The 20,044-nt window shown below is 53.8% G+C and overlaps 3 annotated features.

Annotated features, from left to right (window-relative positions):
* Positions 15,474 to 16,038: an enhancer, noted in NCBI's record as "H3K4me1 hESC enhancer chr22:40101482-40102046 (GRCh37/hg19 assembly coordinates)". NCBI's record gives its function as "activates a minimal SCP1, AML or CMV promoter by ChIP-STARR-seq in primed H9 embryonic stem cells {active_cell/tissue: H9 hESC(primed)}" and the evidence as "EXISTENCE:reporter gene assay evidence [ECO:0000049][PMID:30033119]".
* Positions 16,039 to 16,601: an enhancer, noted in NCBI's record as "H3K4me1 hESC enhancer chr22:40102047-40102609 (GRCh37/hg19 assembly coordinates)". NCBI's record gives its function as "activates a minimal SCP1, AML or CMV promoter by ChIP-STARR-seq in primed H9 embryonic stem cells {active_cell/tissue: H9 hESC(primed)}" and the evidence as "EXISTENCE:reporter gene assay evidence [ECO:0000049][PMID:30033119]".
* Positions 16,602 to 17,165: an enhancer, noted in NCBI's record as "H3K4me1 hESC enhancer chr22:40102610-40103173 (GRCh37/hg19 assembly coordinates)". NCBI's record gives its function as "activates a minimal SCP1, AML or CMV promoter by ChIP-STARR-seq in primed H9 embryonic stem cells {active_cell/tissue: H9 hESC(primed)}" and the evidence as "EXISTENCE:reporter gene assay evidence [ECO:0000049][PMID:30033119]".

A 20,044-nucleotide genomic window follows, 5' to 3' on the forward strand; every position in this document is an offset into this window, starting at 1 on the left:
AATAATCTGTTCACCGTTTGGCACTGTCTATTTCTTTTTCTTTCTTTTTTTTTTTTTTGAGACGGAGTCTCGCTCTGTTGCCCAGGCTCGAGTGCAGTGGCAAGATCTCAGCTCACTGCAAGGATCAAGCGATTCTCCCGCTTCAGCCTCCTGAGTAGCTGGGATTACAGGCGCCTGCTATCATGCCTGGCTAAGTTTTGTATTTTTAGTAGAGACAGGGTTTTGCCACATTGGCCAGCTGGTCTCGAACTCTTGACCTCAGGTGATCCACCCGCCTCGGGTGCTGGGATTACAGGCATGAACCACCATGCCCAGCCTGCACTGTTTCTTGAGTAAGTCCCCATCAGATTGCGCTGACCCAAGGACAGGGACTGTGTTTACTCCTCCCACCCGGAGCCTGGTGCAGGTTGAGATTCAGCAAATGTCAGCTCCGTGGCTGTGTTTTGGAAGCAGAAGGGATTTCAAAGACCAACTAACACCTTATCTTATTTTTCCACTTGAGGAAACAGGCCTGGAATGGCAGCAGGGTGTGGTCTGGGCCACACAGCGAGGCAGAGGCTAGGGGTGACGGGCACCTGCATGCCACCTCCACAGCCAGAGGCTCGGCCCCTGGGGAGGAGAACCCTGATTTGTCATCCTCTCTCTTCCCCGTTAATAATGGGATTAAAAGCAAGTTGCTGCCAAGGAGAGAGACTGGCTTTAAAAAAAAAAAATAACACAAGAACATTTTAAGAGAATGAAAAACTTCAGCCATCAGCACTTTTTATTTAGACCCGAATTCATGAATTTTAACCAAATAAACACAGGCATGTTAGGTATTAATATATGTAAGATTATGCAAAACCACTATTATGGCTATAATGAAAATTAGATTCTGACTCTTGTTGTGCTCCAGGAGGGAGGCATCCTCCGGTTTCTAGCGCAGTGACCTCCGATTGCTGTCACCATGGTAACAGGCTGCCGTGGGAATCTGTGGAGGAGGAGGCTGGTCCTGTCGGGAGGGGTGGGGGTAGGGCCAGGCCGGGCTGGTGCGGATCTGCCGGCCCACATCTGCACAGAGCTAGGGGCGTTTCGTCCCCTGGGCAGAGGCCAGCCTGAGCCTCAGAGGAGAGGGGGCCGGTCATCAGCAGGAGGGGAATGGTGGGGCAGAAACAGCAGTTGCACGGGGCCCCGCCCCACTCACCCTCATCTTCCTGTTCCCCTCAGGCTGCCCCTCCAGGGAGGCATCTGTGTCATCTTCAGTAAATCATGGCTGCACACCCACGCGCGCCCAGCCTCTGCTAGGTGCTGGGGACACAGTGGTGATGGGTCCCTGTGCTCACGGAGCCCGCACCTCAGAGTGGGAGAAAGATTCCAGACAGACAGGCACACAGCTGGGCCGTTTCAGAGCCTGCAAGTGCCAAGAAGGCAGCAGAGCCGGTGGAGTGACCGTGACCGGGGCTGGGGGTGGGGGTCTTCCTGGCTGGGTGGTCCGGGAGGACTGGCTGGGGATTCCTGAAGAACCAGAGGGGAGAGCCTTGCTGAGGCAGTGACCACCGGCTTTCCAGATGAGAGGCAGGAGTCTCAGAGGGCAGCGTCCAGATGAGACCCAGGGCACCTGGCTACATGAGAACATTGAACACGCCAGGAACACGTTTACAGTGTGAACAGGTCCCATGCGGTATTTGGGACATAGTCACACTAAAAAGTTATTTGTTGCTTATCTGAAATTCAGATTTAACTGACTGTCCTTATTCTTCTTTGTGAAGTTGGCAAGCCTGTCAGAGAGTGGGGGGTGACTTCCCTGGGCCATGAGGGGCCGTGCCCTGCCTGATCGCCTGCCCGGCACCCCTGCCCGATGGCCTGCCTGGCACCCCTGCCCTGTCCTCCTGGGATGCTGCTTTTGGGTTGCCCGCCCACTTTGCCCCTTCAATCCCTTCTCACTGGGAGCCTGGTGAAGGAGAAACACCAGCTGACCCCACCTCTGCAGCTCAGTTCAGTGGTTCCATGGCTCCCGGGACCTGCCCGATGCCTGCAGGGCTCTGGGCGTTCCAGTCCTCACCCACTGCCCAGCGTGGCTTCATGGACCAGCCATGCTGACCTGCCCTGCTCTGCCCTTCTCCCACCTCTGCTGGGCTCTTCACCCTTCAAGCCCCCACTTAGGCGTCACTGTCTCGAGAAACTTCCCTGTCACTCCAGGCTGTTCCCACCCTCTGACTCTCAGCTCCTCCCTGAAAAAAATTAGCCTTTTAAGAAACTGTGGTGAAGTATACACAAATGACGTAAAATTTACCATTTTAATTCTTATTAAGTGTAGAGTTCAGTGGCATTAGGAATGTTCCTAGACACTTCTCAAAAGAAAACTTATGAAAAAAACCTCATCATCAGTGGTCATTAAAGAAATGCAAATCAAAACCACAATGAGATACCATCTCATGCCAGTCAGAATGGCGATCATTAAAAAGTCAGGAAACAACAGATGCTGGTGAGGCTGTGGAGAAATAGGAACACTTTTACACTGATGGTGGGAGTACAAATTAGTTCAACCATTGTGGAATCCAGTGTGGCGATGCCTCAAGGATCTAGAACCAGAAATACCATTTGACCCAGCAATCCCATTACTGGGTATATACCCAGAGGATTATAAATCATTCTACTGTAAAGACACGTGCACTTATATGTTTACTGCAGCACTATTTACAATAGCAAAGACTTGGAACCAACCCAAATGCCCATCAGTGATAGACTGGATAAAGAAAATGTGGCACATATACACCATGGAATACTATGAAGCCATATAAAAGAATAAGTTCATGTCCTTTGCAGGGACGTGGATGAAGCCATAAAAAAGAATAAGTTCATGTCCTTTGCAGGGACATGGATGAAGCTGGAAACCATCATTCTCAGCAAACAAACACAGGAACAGAAAACCAAACACTGCATGTTCTCACTCATAAGTGGGAGTTGAGCAGTGAGAACACATGGACACAGGGAGTGGGACATCACATACTGGGGCCTGTCAAGGGGGTGGGGTCCAAGGGGAGGGAGAGCATTAGGACAGATACCTAATGTATGCGGGGCTTAAAATTTAGATAACGGGTTGATGGGTGCAGCAAACCATCACGGCACGTGTATACCTATGTAACAAGCCTGCACGTTCTGCACATGTATCCCAGAAGTTAAAAAAAGAGAATGTTCCTAATGTTCTGTGATCATCACCACCGCCCATCCCCAGAACTCTCCATCTTGCAAAACCAAAACCCTTGGTACGCATTAAACACGAACTCCCATTCTCCAGTCCCCGGCAGCCACCGTGCCACTGTCTCCATGAGTGTGACCATGCCAGGAACCACGAGTGTGAGTGGAGTCACACGGTATTTGTCCTTTTATGACTGCTTATTTCACTTAGCACGAGGTTCTCGAGGTTCTTGAGGTTCTCGAGGTTCACGCATGCTGTGGCGCGTGTCGGACTTTTCTCCCTTCTTCAGGTGCAGTGGGATTCCCGTCACGTGTCTACACCGCACTGGGTTTGGATCCACCCGTTGAGAGGCCCTTGGTTGCTTCCACATTTTGGCTACTGTGAGGAGTGCTGCTGTGACCCTGGGCGTGCCAATGGCTCCCGAGTCCCTGCGTTCACCTCTGTTGGGTGCGTCCCCAGCGGTGGTGTTGCTGGGTCAGGAGGTTAAAGTGTCTGAGGAGCTGCCGTGCTGTCTCCAGGGCGGCAGGCTCCCCATTCCCACCTCGGTGATTCATTTCTTTGTGAGGCTGGATTCACCCTTGGATGGGTGATGTGCAGTGGGGTTTTTGCCTCCTGTTTCTTCCTCTTTCCATCTCCCCTCCTCTCTTTCTGGCGCACTCTTGCTGTGTGGTCCTCGAGCCACCCTGATCTTTGTTTCCAGAAGCCCAAAGGAGAACTTGGAGAGTGCGGAAAAGAGAGGAGGGAGTTTGCAGCGAGGAGGAGGAGAGAGGGTCTGGGGCCCAAGAGGAGTGGCTGTGGGGGCTCTGCCTGGGCAGAGCGGTCCCCAGGGCCACTTGTGGTCTGGAAGAAGCCAGGGCCACTGGCACGAGGGGTGCACATCTTAGGCCACAGGGCTCGGCTACAGGGCCCTGTACAGTGCCCTGGCACAGTGCAAGGAGGCACAGCCTGGAGGGGCAGACTGAGGAAGAGCCGGGCTGATGGATGGGGGCAGAGAGGTGGCCGGGCCTCTCTGAGCTCCTGGGCTGGGAGGCGCCCTGCCCTGCTGAAGGGTCTGCTGCACCCACTCCCCAGCTGGACGGGGCCCAGGCCCCTCCTGAGCAGGGACCTGCCAGGCCATACGCAGCTCCCACCACCCTGCCTGCAGCTCACGGGCTGGGGCCCGGCCTTCCTCATCTCCAGGGCTGGCCCTGAACTCCAGGAAGAGGCTTCTGTGCCTCCTCGGACATGCCTGGAGGCCGTGGGGAGGGACGGGCTCCTGCAGGCACTGACTTCTTCCTTCACTGTCCCCAGCCCTTAGCCTTCCCTGCCTCTGTCCGCACCCATCCCTACCTCTCTCTCCCTGTCTCATTCTCTGCCTCTTCCTGTCTTTCTGTCTCTGCCTCTCGCTTTGTTTGTCTCTTTGTCTGTCTCACTCTCTCCCTCCCTTTATTCCTCCCCCTCTCTCTTTCCCTCCCTCAATCTTTCTGTCTCTTCCTCCCGCTCCCATCCTCTCTCTCTGTCTCTTCCTCCTTTTTTCTGTCTGTCTCTCATCTATCTCTCTATGTTCATCCCTTCCTCTGTCTCTGTGTCTCCCTCCCTCTCTCTGTCTCTCCCTCTCTGCCTCTCTGCGCAGACTTTGCATGCCTCCTGTCCATTTCCTCTCTGAGAGGGAGGGGCTTGCCCATCTCAGGAGGAGAGCCAGATTCCTGGTCCTATCCTCACCTCCTGCATCCCCTGCGAAGGTGGGCGCACTCAGGACAGGGCTGCAGTCCCACTGTCAGCCCCTGAGTGATTGTGGCCCAGGGTCACCCTCAATGGGCAGATAGGGACTATGTGCGGCACCGGGTCTGATGCTGAACTCAGGGCTCAGGGGCTTCTCTCCGCTCCCCAGGGCACCCCCTCTACATGTTCTCAACATGGGGTGTCCCCATCAACATGGGGTGTCCCCACAAAGCACATGTTCCTGGGAGGCTTGGAGAGGCAAAAGTCAGGACCTCTGGGCTTCGGTTGGCTGCAGGTCAGGGTGCAGGCCGCCTGCAACCACAGGGAGGGGGCGTGTTTCCAGGCAGCCACGCAGAGGGACATGGGCACAGGTCTGTCACTGCGGCCCCCTCCTGCAGCCAGGTGGGCATTTGGAGGGAGCCCCAGGAGTGCTGTTCGCAGCTGTGACGGGCAGGCCATGGGCGTCTCAGGAACACGCCAAGTGAGAGGCGCTCCACCCAAGCCAGAGCACTGCAAGGGACAGCTGCTCAGACGGGTCTCAATGGTGGCTGCTCTGTCCCTGCTCTGGGTATGACCCCTCCTGGGCGTGTGAGCAGGACCTGGTCACCCACTTCCTGCTAATGAGTAGAATATGGCATAAGTGGTGGGATGCTGCCTCCAAGAGTGGATGACAGAAAGATGCTGGCTCCTGTCTTGCTCCATGTGGGAGCTGCCCTGTGGAAGCCCACGAGCCGAGGAACCGAAGATGCCACCCTCTGGCCAACACCCAGCAAGGAGCGGAGACCCTCAGTCTACAGCCCTCAAGGGACAGAGCCTCCATCCAGCCAGCCCCGGCCCATGTGTGGATGGCAGCATTGGAGAGACTCCACACCAGAGAGGCCCCGTCAAGCTGCGTCCTGGTTCCCAGCCACAGAAACTGTGAAATAATAAATGTTGTTGTTTTAAGCTGCTAATTTGGGGTAATTTGTTTCACAGGCATAAACTAATACAAGTACACGCCGTACTGTGCTATGAAATCATGCCCTATATTATATGGAATTCTAGAACAGAAAAAATCAATCTATGGTGGGAAAAAGCCCTCAGAACGGTGGTTGCCTCCTGGGAGTAGGGGCAGGGTTGACTGAGGAGAGGCACGAAGAAGCTTCATGCTGGGATGATGGTGAGTGATGTCCATCTTGATGGGGTTTGGGTTACACAGGGGTATGCATTTGTCAACATCCAGAAAGTGTCTTTCAAGATTTGCAGATTTCCTTGTATGTAAATGTTACATGAGAAATAATAAACACTGCAGCATTTGGAGGAAGTGTGCTGATGTCTTCCATTTTCTTTGAAATGCATTGAAAAATAAGATGTATTGCTGAGTGGAGAGCGGGATGGCTGGATGGATATATGATAAAGCAAGTATTATTCTACATAAATGGTAGAATTCTAAGTGATGGGCATAAGAATGATCACTAAACATTTTTTTTTTTTTGAGTTGGAGTCTTACTCTGTCACCCAGGATGGAGTGCAGTGGCGCTATCTCGGCTCACTGCAAGCTCCGACCCCGGGTTCACATCATTCTCCTTCCTCAGCCTCCTGAGTAGCTGGGACTACAGGCGCCTGCCACCACACCTGGCTAATTTTTATTTTTATCTTTTGGATTTTTAGTAGAAATGGGGTTTCACCATGTTAGCCAGGATGGTCTCGATCTCCTGACCTTGTGATCCGCCCGCCTTGGCCTCCCAAAGTGTTGGGATTACAGGCATGAGCCAGCATGCCCGGCCCACTAAACACTTTTTCTCAATTTTGTTGTGTGTCTAAACATTTCATAAAACACCAGGAAAAATCATTTATTTCACAAATGTTCACAGCATGCTTAATGGCAAAAATAAGAATAATGAAATGGCTCTGTGGTCTGAGTAGTAATTCTAATCAAGGTTTCTTACATGCTAGGCATCTGAGGAGGCTTCTTAATGTGTTCTTCCATCCTGATCACGACCCACAAGGAAGCAGTGATGGTTCTTAATTTACAGATGGGGAAACTGAGGCACAGGGCATTCACTGCATAGAGGTCATGCAAGAAGGACGTGGCAGAGCTGAGATGTCTCCAGGTCCAGGTGCTCTGAATGATTGAGCTGTGTTAACCTACGGATTGCCATTTCCACCTGTGCCTCAATTTCCCAGTGTCTCAGAGATACAAATTGCTATGTGGGTGAAGTCAGGTGACAGCGGTTCACTCTGCCCAGCTGTGCTATAGCGCCGGTGCACAGCAGGTGCAGTGGCCGGAGGAAGGGCAGGCGCTGTCCCCTCCTGGCTGTGTCTTCCCTTTGAGGCTGGCCTCCTCTGGGTGTGGGGCTCAGCCACCTGGCTGGGAGGTTTCCCTGGGGGCCTCACTCATGAGGTCCAGTCTGTGTCACATCCAGAAGTGACTTGGTGAAAAGATGCACCACTTCACAGCAGCCCTGGGCTGTGGCTCCAGGCTGTCCCTTTGCAAAGAAGGAGGTGGTTCAGGCCCCCACAGCCCTGGCCTGCGAGGAAAGCCTCAGAGCCCATCTCTGGGAGTATCCACGGGGCTCAGGAAACTGCCTCCCTAAGTCTCCCAGCCCTTGTAATGTGCATTGTAATCCCACGCTTTGCACAGTGGAGAGATGGAGGAAAGGACTCAGAGAATAGCACAGGGCTGTCTTGCCCCTGGGCCTTGGCCCATGCTGCTCCTGGTACTGGGGTCACCTCTGTGACCACCACTCCCGCTCTCCTTGCACCCCCGAATGGTGTTAGGTGTCACAGGTTCTATATCCACATGAGCTTCTCCAGGCGGGGACAAAGCCAGATTCTCCTTTAAATCCCCTCTCTGGCTGGGGGCCTGGCACAGTGAAGATGGAGGAAGGAGCCCGAAGCAGGGCCTGGGGAGAGACACAGGGTGCAGGGGTGGGTGCCTGGGCTTCACCGCCCTTCACCCGCATGCCAGCCTGCTGAAGCGGTGTTCTCCTTCCTGCTTCTGCGAATGAGGAATGGAGGCTGGGGGAGGTGAAGCAACCTCTCCAGGGACCCCACCCACAGGGCATCACCAGGACTAGCCCTGACCGGTGGACTCTGACGCCCACGCTCTTTCTGGCTAGAGCCACAGGTTTTAAGGATGTAAGGGAAAATAAACCACTCTTTGCAGACCTCTGTGGGCTTCTGGGAGTCCTTAACAGCTGATTAATGGACAGGCCGTGCTCTCAGCTTCCCACTGCTCTTTGATCCTAAAACCCAGGGGCTCTGCTCTGAAATGGGGTGACCGAAGGGGACGGTGCAGAGGAGCAATTTTTCTCTGCCCTGCAGTGTAGCGACTAAAATAGATCCTCATCAGGTCACAGGGCTGGCCCAGGCTGCAGGAAGCGCGGGAGGTGGACAGGGAGGCTGTGGGTTGCACCCAGGCCCTGGGGCCTCCTCCTGCAGTGATGGGGGCAATGGGTGGCTCTGGGTGTGACCCCAGCTCCGGCCTCCTTTTTCATCTGGGATTTATGTCCTGTGGTGCATGGGGTGGAGGGGAGGAGGAGCAGATGGGCTTCTGAGTGGCACTTTCTTTCTCAAGAACCTCCCGGTCACTGTGGATAAACACTGAACAGGTGCAGTCCAGGAGCTCTCCGTTTCCCAAGGCAGCATGGAAGGTAGGGGAAACCTCCCCCATCACCTCCTCCATCACTCCCCATCACCTCCCCTTCATCACCTGTCCCATCACTCCCCATCACCTCCCCTTCACCTCCCCATCACCTCCTCCTTTACCTCCCCTTCATCACCCCCCCATCACTCCCCATCATCTCCCCTTCACCTCCCCTTCACCTCCCCATCACCTCCCCATCACCGCCTCCTTTGCCTCCCCTTCATCACCTCTCCCATCACTCCTCATCACCTCCCCATCACCTCCTCCTTCACCTCCCCATCACCTCCTCCTTCACTTCCCTTCACCTCCCCATCACCTCCCCTTCACCTTCCCTTCACCTCCCCATCACCTCCTCCTTCACCTCCCCATCACCTCCTCCTTCACCTCCCCATCACTGCCTCCTTCACCTCCCCATCACCTCCTCCTTCACCTCCCCTTCACCTCCCCATCACCTCCTCCTTCACCTCCCCATCACCTCCTCCTTCACCTCCCCATCACCTCCTCCTCCTTCACTTGCTGTCACCTCCTCATCACTCCCCATCACCTTCCCCATCACTCTCTATCACCTCCCCGATCACCTGCCCATCACTCCTCATCACCTCCTCCTTCACCTCCCCATCATTCCCCATCACCTCCTCCTTCACCTCCCCATCACCTCTTCCTTCTTCACTCACCGTCACGACCTCCCCATCACTCCCCATCACCTCCCCCATCACCTCCCCATCACTCCCCATCACCTCGCCCATCACATCCGCCCGCCTTAGCCTCCCAAAGTGCTGGGATTACAGGTGTGAGCCACCGCGCCCGGCCTCTAAGGCAGGATTTCTATGTCACAGTCTCTGGGTGGGATTCTATGTTCTTTGGAAAGCCTCTGTTTTTCCTCTGAAGGCCTTCAGCAGATTGGATGAGGCCCACCCAGGTGACGAGGGGTAATTGCTTTTACTCACAGTTAACTGATTGTAGGTGTTAGTCATAGCCACAAAATACCTCCACAGAAACATCTAGATTTGCATTTGGCTGAGCAACCGGGCACCGTAGCCCAGCCAGCCTGACACATAAATCAGAGGGTACGGCTGGGTTCAAACCCTGGCTCCAGCCCGTGTGAGTGGTGGCCCATCTGCCGCACCTGAGCCTTGGCAGCCGGCAGGCTGGTGGCACTTCTCCTGGCGGGCTGCTGAGAGGAGCAGAGAAGGCTGCGTGCATTGGGTTCCCAGCTGGGAGTCCTGACACCCGTCCTCTGGCCTGCTGTGTCACTGCAGAGCCTGTTGTGGGAATGTTGCCAGCCGCAGGAAGCCAGTCCTCATCCCTGGGAGAAGAGCTTCTTTGTAGTCATTAGAGCTCTGATGGCTTCTTGATGACATGTTTGCACAGTGGGTGGCCTGAGGACTCCAGTGACTGCAGGCAAGGTGTCATCGATGGCTTTGGAGATGAAATTTCTAGTCCTGCTAGCCCTGGGTCCGTCCCATCTCTGGAGTGTGCACTGTCTCCTGCCAGGTAAGGCTGGGCTGCTCCTAGAGTCCCACCTGTTCCAGCCCAGGGGAGGCCGCCTGCTGCTCTGACTCCAGTGCTATTGACCATGTGGTCCCCGCACAGGCATAGTCCTCCCCCAGGCCCTGGAGCCTTGGCCTGAATGTGCTGTTGCCTGAGTAACACGGCCCCTGTCCTCAGACGCGCTGTGGCCATTGTCCTCTTGTCCCTGGGCCGCCTTTGTGTGTGCCTGTGTCCCCGACTACCTAGGAATTCCTGGAGAGCAGGACCACAGCTGCGTTGTCTGGAGCTCGGTGGCCAGTGTGGGGCCTTGCCTAGAGCTTTGCCTTGGTGGGAAGAAGCGGCGGAATCTTTCTCAGCACCAGTGTCCCATTTGCAGTGCCAGGGGCCACTTGGGCTCTGTAACCCGCCGTCCCACCTTCTGAGAGCCAGGCCAGATAAACATCCTGACGTCCCTACGCCAGACAGCGATTCTGCATGTGACACTAAGCTGTGGGATCACAAAGAGAGGCTTTGATTCTGGCAAATGGTGGGCCCGTGGACTGTGCTGTCCCACCAGCTGACACACCCTTGGTCCCAGGGGTTTTCGTCCTGCTTGTTAACCCCTGACATGGCAGGCAGCTCTCCTGTGAACAGTGATGAGGGACACAAGCACACCCATCTCATGGCTCTGCCATCGTCACCCTAAGGCTTCTAAGGCCACTGAAGAAGGGGAAGGGCATGGAGCATTGTGTGGGAGGGTTTTATGGGCCAGGCTCAGGAATGGTGCCCACCACTCCCACCCACATCCCACTGGACAGAACGCAGACACGTGGCCGTGCTCAGTGCAGGGGAGTCTGGCTCTGCGGTCCAGCTGTGAGCCCAGAGGAAGAAGAAATGGTTTGGTAAAGCAGTGAGACCTGTTCTGCTACAGTCAGACTTTCTGGGGCGGGGGTGGGGTAGGAGGGCTTCTGCTACAAAACCCCTAAAAATCCAGGACAAGTTGCCACAAACTTCTTTATTCAACGCACAGCTAAGTTTGCAAGGGAGTAAGGAAAATTTCTGAGAGCCAGAAATGAAGAGGAAACTGATGCCAGACAGGAAGCAAACGCTGACTTCTGGATGCCCTGAGGCGTTTTGCCCACATCTGGGGCCTGGGACCTTGTGCAGGGAACAGAAGACACTACATCTTGAGCTGAGAAAAGGTTGGGAGTGGCACGTAAGACTCTTATCTCAAGCTGGAGTCCTCAAAGGCTGTACCTTCAGTGTAAGGGCTCTAAAACAACAAACTTCTAGCAAATAAAAATGACAATGATATTCATTTGTCCTGGCCTCTGCAATCAATGTGGATAAAAGGATTCCTTCCTAAGAATGTGTCAGTTTAGGCTGCGGATCGCTCGGGATCGGGTTCAAATTTTTGGAGTGGTCCAGAAACCCCAAGCCAAGAAATTAACCTAAAGAGGTGTTGGGTTGGTGGACCTGGGCACACGGCCAGAGCAAGCCCTCATCAGGGTCCTACCGGGTCCCTACAGAACACTGCCAGGCCCACAGCCTCAAACTGCAAAACCTAGGAGAGAACATTCCACAGTGAGTCGCAGTTGAAAGAAGCCATACATGTAAAACTAGATCAAAAGATTTGACGTTTGAATGATCAGAAATAGAATAAAAATAAGTTTAAAAATCCTAGGCCGGGAACAGTGGCTCATGCCTGTAATCCCAGCACTTTGGGAGGCTGAGGCGGGCAGATCACCTGAGGTCAGGAGTTCAAGACCAGCCTGGCCAACATGGCAAAACCCCATCTCCACTAATAATACAAAAAATTAGCTGGACATGGTGGCGCCTGCCTATAATACCAGCTACTTGGGAGGCTGAGGCAGGAGAGTCACTTGAATCCAGGAAGCAGAGGTTGTGGTGAGCTAAGATCGTGCCATTGCACTCCAACCTGGGCAACAGAGTGAGACTCCATCTCTAAAGACATTTAAAATATGGAGAGCATAGACAAGGAAAAACAGACTACAAAAGTGTTCAGGGAGATATGAAAAAAAGAGTCAAACAGAACTTCTTGAAATGCAAAATGTAATAAGTGAAATGAGAAACTCAGTGCATTGGCTGAACAGCAAATAGACCCAGTGCAGGAAGGAATCAGCGGACTAGAAGATGGAGCTGAGGCAACCGCCAGAAGGTACAACGCAGGACAGAACTTGCGAGGTGGAAGCTCAGAGGGAAGGTCAGAGCGAGAAGTGAGAATGCTCATCCGCTCGCAGCTCCAGAAAGCGCTAAGAGGGAGAGGGGCGAGACTTGCTGTTCAAAGAGATAATGGCTGAGGATTTTCCAGAATTGTTAAAAGACACGAATTTCAGTTCAGAGAACATGATAAAGCATGAGCAAGGGATTAAACAAAAACTCCATGCTTGGACCCAACACAGTGATATACAATAGCAAAGAGACGGTTTCAAAAGAAGCTGCTGAGGAGACTAATTACCTACAAATGCATGGCAACTAGGTGGCAGACCAACTTCCTGACCGCACTAATAGAGACCACAGGCCTGGAAAACAACGTCACCAAACACTAGTATGAACAGGTTAAATAACTGCCCACCTCGCATTTGTACTGAGTAAAAATATCTTTCAAGAACAAGATGTCGGCATCTTCGGACAATCCCAAGTGAGCTTGGAGCCTCCCTTGAGCCATTTCTAAAGGAAAATATTTCCAGAAGGAAGGTCCCAAGAGGCAAGAGTGAGAGGGCAAAGAAATGGTCAACTGTGCGGGAGAAGCTGAACACACATTCACTTCCTAGAACAATTGTCCTAATGCCTAATTTGGGGGATAAAAGAGACTGAGCGTCCATCAGGATACTAGCGTTTCCCATGATGCTGATGTTGATGCTTTCCGGAAAAATACTAAATACCAGATTCTTCTAGAACTGTTTTCTGCTTTGCCAGTGCTCCGAGTACACACTTTGTCCACCTATGAGCCCCTTGACCACAGTGCAGAGAACACTGTCAGGCCGCAAACTCTTGGCCGAAGGAGAGAATTCCCTGGATGCTGGTTCCCTTGGGACCCAGTCTCCCATGCCCCAGCCTAGTGGGTCTCCCCAGAAACACCTGGTCACTTAAGACTTGGGTGCTGGGCCCTGCCCAGGAGTGGCTGATCCCTGCTGAGAATCAGCGTTTCTACAAGCTCCCAGGTGCTGGTCCCAGACCAGTCTGAGAAGCGCTGCTGTAGCTGATGACCCCCTCGTCTCCTCAGCCTGTTGCAGGGTTAACACCCCTCCTCCAGGAAGCCTTCTGGCAGAAACACCTCAGCAGGCAAGCTCTGCGTCTCTATCATGGTCTGCTAAGAACGCAGCAGATGCAGAATCAGTTGCAGCTGAATGACTGGCTGTGTGAATCTTTTTTTTTTTTTTTTTTTGAGATGGAGTTTCACTCTTGTTGCCCAGGCTGGAGTGCAATGGTGCGATCTCAGTTCACTGCAACCTCCGCCTCCTGGATTCAAACGATTCTTAAAGGGCACGTCTGGCTGGGGATCTTCGGGCGGCGTTAGAGGCTAAGGATACCTCTAGGCCCTCTCCCCCACCAGGAAACACACACACCCCCCCACATACCCACACACACACCCCCCACACCCACACCCCCCACACCCACACCCACAGCCCCACCCCCGACACACACACTCTTTTCTCTTCACTGGAGCTTCCACCTAGGTCCACACAGCCTTTTACCAGCCTTCCTGAGTGCCCACTGCACCAGGCCAGGTGCTGGACTCTGGTTCATCCTCCTGCCCATTGCTCTGGATAAGTGGGGGCTAAAGCCCAGGAGCGTTTTGTAAAGATGGGATCACGGGCCCTGGGGTGCTTCCGCTACCCCCCAAGCCCTTCAGACCCCACTGGCCCCTTTCTGCTCTCCATACCCTAAGGGAAGGCTATGTCCTGACAAGTCCTCGCGCCTCCTCTTGCTAAAGCTGACAGTCGCCTGCCAGGGGGATTAACTGGAACGCCACGGGCAATTGATCCCAACAAGCTTAAGATGTCCCGTTCCAGGAGAAGGCCCTGCTGACAGGGGAGGCAGCTGCTGAGGCTGCTGGCAGGGATCCTGCAAGAGCAGCTGTGAGCCCTCAGCCTGTCCTGGGGGACAGGCCCTGGGAGGGGAGGGGAGAAGGACAGTGCTGGGTGTATTGGGGTCATGGCTGCCCCCGCCAGGAGGGAGCTGGGGGTCCTGGGGCTGCCCCAAGAGGTGCCAGAGGATTCAGGAATTCGGTGGGGGCGGGCAGTGGAGGCGCCCGGGGGTACTCAGGTGGCTGATTTATGAGGCCAGATTAAGAAGACTGATGGCCTGTCCCTTAGCCAAGAAATGAGTCCTGTTGCAAACCGTTGAAGGGCACAAAGGTGGAGGAGGGAGAGGCTTTGTAGACAGTGGTTTGGGAGTAATGAGGAATAATGGGCTGAAACAGAGCCGGATAGCAGGAAAGCTGGCTTGGCTGTGAAGTCTGCATGAGCTGGAAGCCAGCGCTGGCAGCGAGGGATAGGGCCGTGATCTTGAATCATGGGGAACCTGACTGGACCAGGCGTGGGAGGCAGAATGGGATTTGGCCCAAGACTATTCGTCTGCAGCCACCTTGGGCTATGCGGTCACCCTGCTGTCCCTGGACTGCCTAACTCAGGTGGGTCAGAAGTTGGCCTATGTTCCCACTCTAGTGGGGCACCTGCAGGCTGCCTGTGGGTCCGGAGTGGCCAGGAGGGGTTGGGGCCCCAAAGAGTGACTGGCTGGAGGAGGAAAGCTGCAGGTGTGGCCTGGGCCCTGGGCTCCAGGCAGGCTGAGACCCCATTGCACAGTGGGGCACCTGAGGCCACAGTGTGCAGGGCAGGGATGCCAACGCCACAAGGGCCAGTTCCAGAGCCCAGCTTTCTGTTTAGGATCTTCTTTTTTTTTTTTTTTTTTTTTTTGAGACAAAGTCTCGCTCTGTGGCCCAGGCTGGAGTGCAGCGCGATCTCGGTGCACTGCAACCTCCACCTCCCAGGTTCAAGCAATTCTCCTGCCTCAGCCTCCTGAGTAGCTGGGACTATAGGCATGTGCCACCACACCCGGCTAATTTTTGTATTTTTAGTAGAGACAGGGTTTCAGCATGTTGGCCAGGATGGTCTCGATCTCCTGACCTCATGATCCGCCCGCCTCGGCCTCCCAAAGTGCTGGGATTACAGGCATGAGCCACTGCGCTTGGCCTGTTTAGGATTCTTGAAGCAAATCCCATTTCTGTTCAGGAGCCGCAAAGTAAATTTCGAGAGGAGCTCCGCTTCCTGCCTGGCAAAGGACCTATGGGGAAAGTTCTGGAAGACCAGGAAGGCTGGCCTCACCACTTCCCCATGCTCATGAAAGCATTTTGTGAGCTCCCTGAGACATGTTCCGGGATCCGAAGCCCCCCTGGGGAAGTGTGCTGCGTCTTGGGCCTTGTCCACAGGAGCGTGAGTGGGACGTTTGAAATTTCCTAAACTGATGACCAGGCTTCACGCCGCTCAAGTCCGCCACAGCCTGCAGAGGCCACCCCCAGGCAGGGCCCATCCATCTGTGCCCACGCAAGCTCCTGTGCTGGATGAAGCTGCCCCGTGACTCAGGTTCTGACTCAGCGCCAGCTAGGTGGGCATAGGCCATGCTGGCCAGGGTACTCTTCCTGGAGGTGTGGGTGCCCCGGGAGTGTGGGCATGGCCCCAGGGGGCAGCTCTGGGCAGCATGGCTTTCCTGGGCACCTACTTGGACTCTTGTGGCCTGGGAGGCAGGAAGCGTTTCTCCCTGTTTTGCAGGTGAGAAGGTGGATGCTGGAAAAGTCCATGCCTTGCTCAAGGCCACACGGTTGCCAGGTGGGTTTGAACGAGGTTTATCTGACTCCAGGGCCCTTGCTCTGACCCAGTCCATCCTGCCGCTCCCCAGACGTCTGCAGGGCGGGTGAACCTCTCTAGGAAGAGGGTTGAGATGGCCGTGCTGTGTGTGCAGACCCTGCCTGGCTCAGACAGGCTCTGTCCTTAGTTACGTGACCTTGAATGAACGGTGTCACCACCCCCAGCCTCTCCCAGAAAAAGGGGCAGGAGCTGTTACCCACTTTGGTGGTGGTGGGAGGCAGGTGAGTAGGGAGCCAAGCCTATAAAACTGAGTCAGCTCAGCCCTGTGCAGGTGCCGGTGTCCGTCCCCTGCCTTCTGAGGGCCAGTGCGTGCTGCTTCCCTGGGCCCTGCGGAGGCCCCTGCACTGTCAACGGGGATGATGTCCCCTCCTCATGCAAAACAGCTCTCCCAGGGTAGGCCCTGATGGGCCACGCACACTGGCCACATCCTGCTCTGATCTGCGTCTTCTGGGACAGCTCAGTGTGGCCATCTTGGACCTGGTGGTCCACCAGGTCCTGCAGCCGGAGCCTGTCCCTCCCCACCCCGCCTTGGGGCACTCTGCTTTGCAGCAGCCTTGCTGTGGTGTCTCTCCCTTCCCGCTGGCAGACAGCAGTGTTTCGGGCACACAAAGGATTCATCTGTAGGGTTCTTATTTCCCCATGAAACTCGGTGCTTGACAGACAGGAGTGGCATCTCTGTGCAGCCATAGACAAAAGTGAGAGCGTCCTCCCCGCCCCCACACAGCAGACCCCGCCCTGGACTCCTGGGGTGACGCTCAGCAGACCGGGGCTTAAATTCGGCTTCACAGCTCATGAGCAGTCACACTCCGTGTAGATTTGTATTCAGGGAAGGCTTTGGGGAAAAGTAATAAAAAATCGGGGGAGGGAGCAGCTCAACACGCCCAAGTAAGATTTCTCATTAGTTTGAAAGATGGACAAGGAACCTGCTCTTTAATGAAGAAAATGGATTGTGCCCTGACTAAGTAGTCTGGAACTTGGAGACGGCGCTGCGGCTCTGGTTCTGACCTTCACAGACGTCTCAGAATACACCCAGCTTCAAACCCAGCGAGGACCTGCCCAGTTTGGGGTGACTTTAAGATTCTCATCTGGCAGGGCGCGGTGGTTCGTGCCTGTAATGCCAGCACTTGGGAAGGCCGAGGGGGGCGGGTCTCTTGAGCCTAACGGTTCGAGACCAGCCCAGGCAACATGGCGAAACTCTGTCTCTACAAAAAAATACCAAAGTCAGCCCAGTGTCGTGGCATGTGCCTGTAATCCCAGCTACTCAGGGAGCTGAGGCGGGAGGATCGCTTGAGCCCAGGAGGTTGAGGCTGTAGTGAGCCATGATTGCGCTACTGCACTCCAGCCTGGGCAACAGAGTGAGACCTTGTCTCAAAAATAAAGAAAAACGAAAAAGAAAAATTCTCATCAGGCCAAGCCCCTGGCCCTCCCAGGCTCACCAAAGCCTGAGAGGAGGAGAGGATGCTGGTTGGAGGGGCCGTGTCTGCTCTAGGGCTGCGGCATTGGGCTGTGACTCTGTTTCTCCAGGCCTCAGTGTCACTGTTGGCTGGTGATTGCCTTCCCACTGCAGAGCAGCTCCAGGATGCTCAGTGAGAGCCGGGCAAGCTCCCCCTGCAGCATCTTGCCTTCCTGCCCTGGCGACACCTCACCTGGTCATCTGGTGAGAGAGGCTGTCTGCTCAGCGGAGTCACTGACTGAGCCCAGGGGCCTGGCTTTCCACACTCAGCGAGGCTTCAGGCCAGGGGTGGATGCAGTCACTGCAGATGGGCCCAGGCACCCCCTGCTCAGGCTTCACCTGCAGTTTTAACTGGAGGTGATGAGTGTCTCTACATGGGCCCCATAGAGTTGGACCATGTTGAATGAGGCCTGTGTAATCCAGCTCTGGGATGGGCCGAGCCATTTCTCAGCCCAGATGCAACTTCTTCCTGGAGAAAGACCTTGAAACACCTAATAAACAAGGTCCAAACACAGGAAATACAGCTCAGATCCTTCCACGCACAGCTTCTGCGGTGACACCAGCCACATAAAAATGATAAAGGCCATTTATCCTCTGTCTTTGGAACATAAAAGCAGGTTCTTAGGACTGCAGCTATAATATGTTAATGGAATTTCTGTTCGGGAGCTGGCAACAGCACCCTGCCTTCCAGAAGCAAGGCCTCCGGGGACAGCCTGTAGCTCTCATTAAAGAAGATTCCACATGCTCTTAGATTAATGGCCAGCTTTAACAGCTGTGGGGCCTCTTCCTCCCCTGGGCTCTGAGTGTGATGGTGTGATGGTGGCCCTGGTCGCCTCCTGAGGCCTCTTGCCTTGACTGTTTCTTTTCTTTTTTTTTTTTTTTTTTTTTTTTGAAGATGGAGTCTCGCTCTGTGGCCCAGGCTGGAGTGCAGTGGCAAGATCTCGGTTCACTATAACCTCCACCTCCCAGATTCAAGCAATTCTCCTCCCTCACCCTCCCTAGTAGCTAGGATTAGAGGCGAGCACCACCACGCCTGGCTAATTTTTGTACTTTTAGTAGAGATGGGGTTTCATCATGATGGCCAGGCTGGTCTTGAACTCCTAAACTCAAGTAATCTGCCGGCCTAGGCCTCCCAAAGTGCTGGGATTACAGGCATGAGCCACTGCGCCTGACCGCCCTTGACTGTTTTATTACCACTCATTGCCACTTGTAGGCTGAGGCTCAAAGTTCAAATCCAGAGAACTTTGCCTCCTAAATGTCTCTGCTGACAAGATCACTGTCCTGAGTCGGCCCTCGCCCCCACGGGTCCCCCCTCACCCTACCCTCCGCCCCACACCCCGGATCCATGTTCAGTGTGAATGAGTCCAGCCCCAGCCACTCACCTTTGGTGGCCCCAGAGCTTTCCGAAGGAGGCTCCTGCTCCTTCACACCGGCCGCCCCCACCCGCTCTTTCCAGCTTCTCTCAAAAGGGGATTTGGATCCTAATCCTGAAAGACACAATTCCAAATGCCATAATCCTGAATGTCAAAATCCCAAAAGGTCAAAATCCCTGAAGATCAAAATCCCTAAAGTCTAAATCCCGATTGTCTAAAATCCTTAAATTCTAAAATCCCGAAAATCACAGTCACAGGCTATTGCATCGTGTTAGGCAGAACTATGACCTTGCTATTGTCTTTATTTGGAAATTAAGTGTGGCTTCAGGACATGCGTACGGGTGCCAGGTTGACAAGGGTAGATTTGTGGATGAATTTTAGGCGTCCTCTTGCCCGGAGGAAGGACCGGGTGAAGGACTGTGTTGGGTGTGTTTGTGAGGGGTCTCCAGGGGAGACCCGTGTGTGGGTCTGAGTAGGCTGGGTGGAATGCTCTGTCCTCAGTGTTGGCGGGCACCATCCAAGCAGCCAGCGGGTGGGAGAGAACAAATGCCGAAGGCGAATCTCCGAGAGCCGGGACAGCCTTTCCTTCTGCTGCCTTCGACATCAGAATGCCAGGCTCTTAACCTTTAGACTCCAGGACTTAACCAGCATCCCCCCGCCCCGGGGCCTTGAGGCTTTTGGCCTCAGCCTGAGATATAGATCATCGGCTTTCCTGGTTTTCAACACAGAAACATTGAATCCTCCTCAATAGATGAAGAAATGTCCTTTATGTACATCTGCATTTGTGAAATAAAATCTTTCGAGATCTCAGCTATTTGGGTGCCTGCACACGCCGTGACGACCCATTGTGGCTTTTGGTCAATTTCATCAAAAGGCTTAGGTTGTCCGTCATGTAATATTTCAGATGACCACAGTTATGAAGCTGAGTGCACACACTCCCTTGGTGATGTGCGTGTACCTTGTCCCTTTTTGACTCACTTTATGAATACGGTTTGTCTGCTTATAATTGTTATACTCGGTGATGTGCATGTATACTTTCCCTATTTCTTTATGAATAAGCTTTGCCTGCTCATAATTTTTGCACCTCGGTGACCATCATTAGCATACCTGGGTGTTTCTGCTTGCAAAAATATGTATGGTGTTATTGCCTGTTTTATGGTGTAAACTGGCCTGTGAAGTGTTCTGTTGTGCTTTTATATGTTTCTTAAATAAATCTTTTAAAATTGTAAATAAACATCTTTTAAAGACTTTTAAATTATTTTTTCCAGAAGTGATAGCTTTGGGATTTCAACATTCAGGATGAAGGTGTCCAGAATTAAGTCTTTTGGGATGATAACTGGCTCCCCTCTAAAT

The sequence above is a fragment of the Homo sapiens genome, chromosome 22 (assembly GCF_000001405.40).
Source record: "Homo sapiens chromosome 22, GRCh38.p14 Primary Assembly".
NCBI classification, from domain to species: Eukaryota; Metazoa; Chordata; class Mammalia; order Primates; family Hominidae; genus Homo; species Homo sapiens.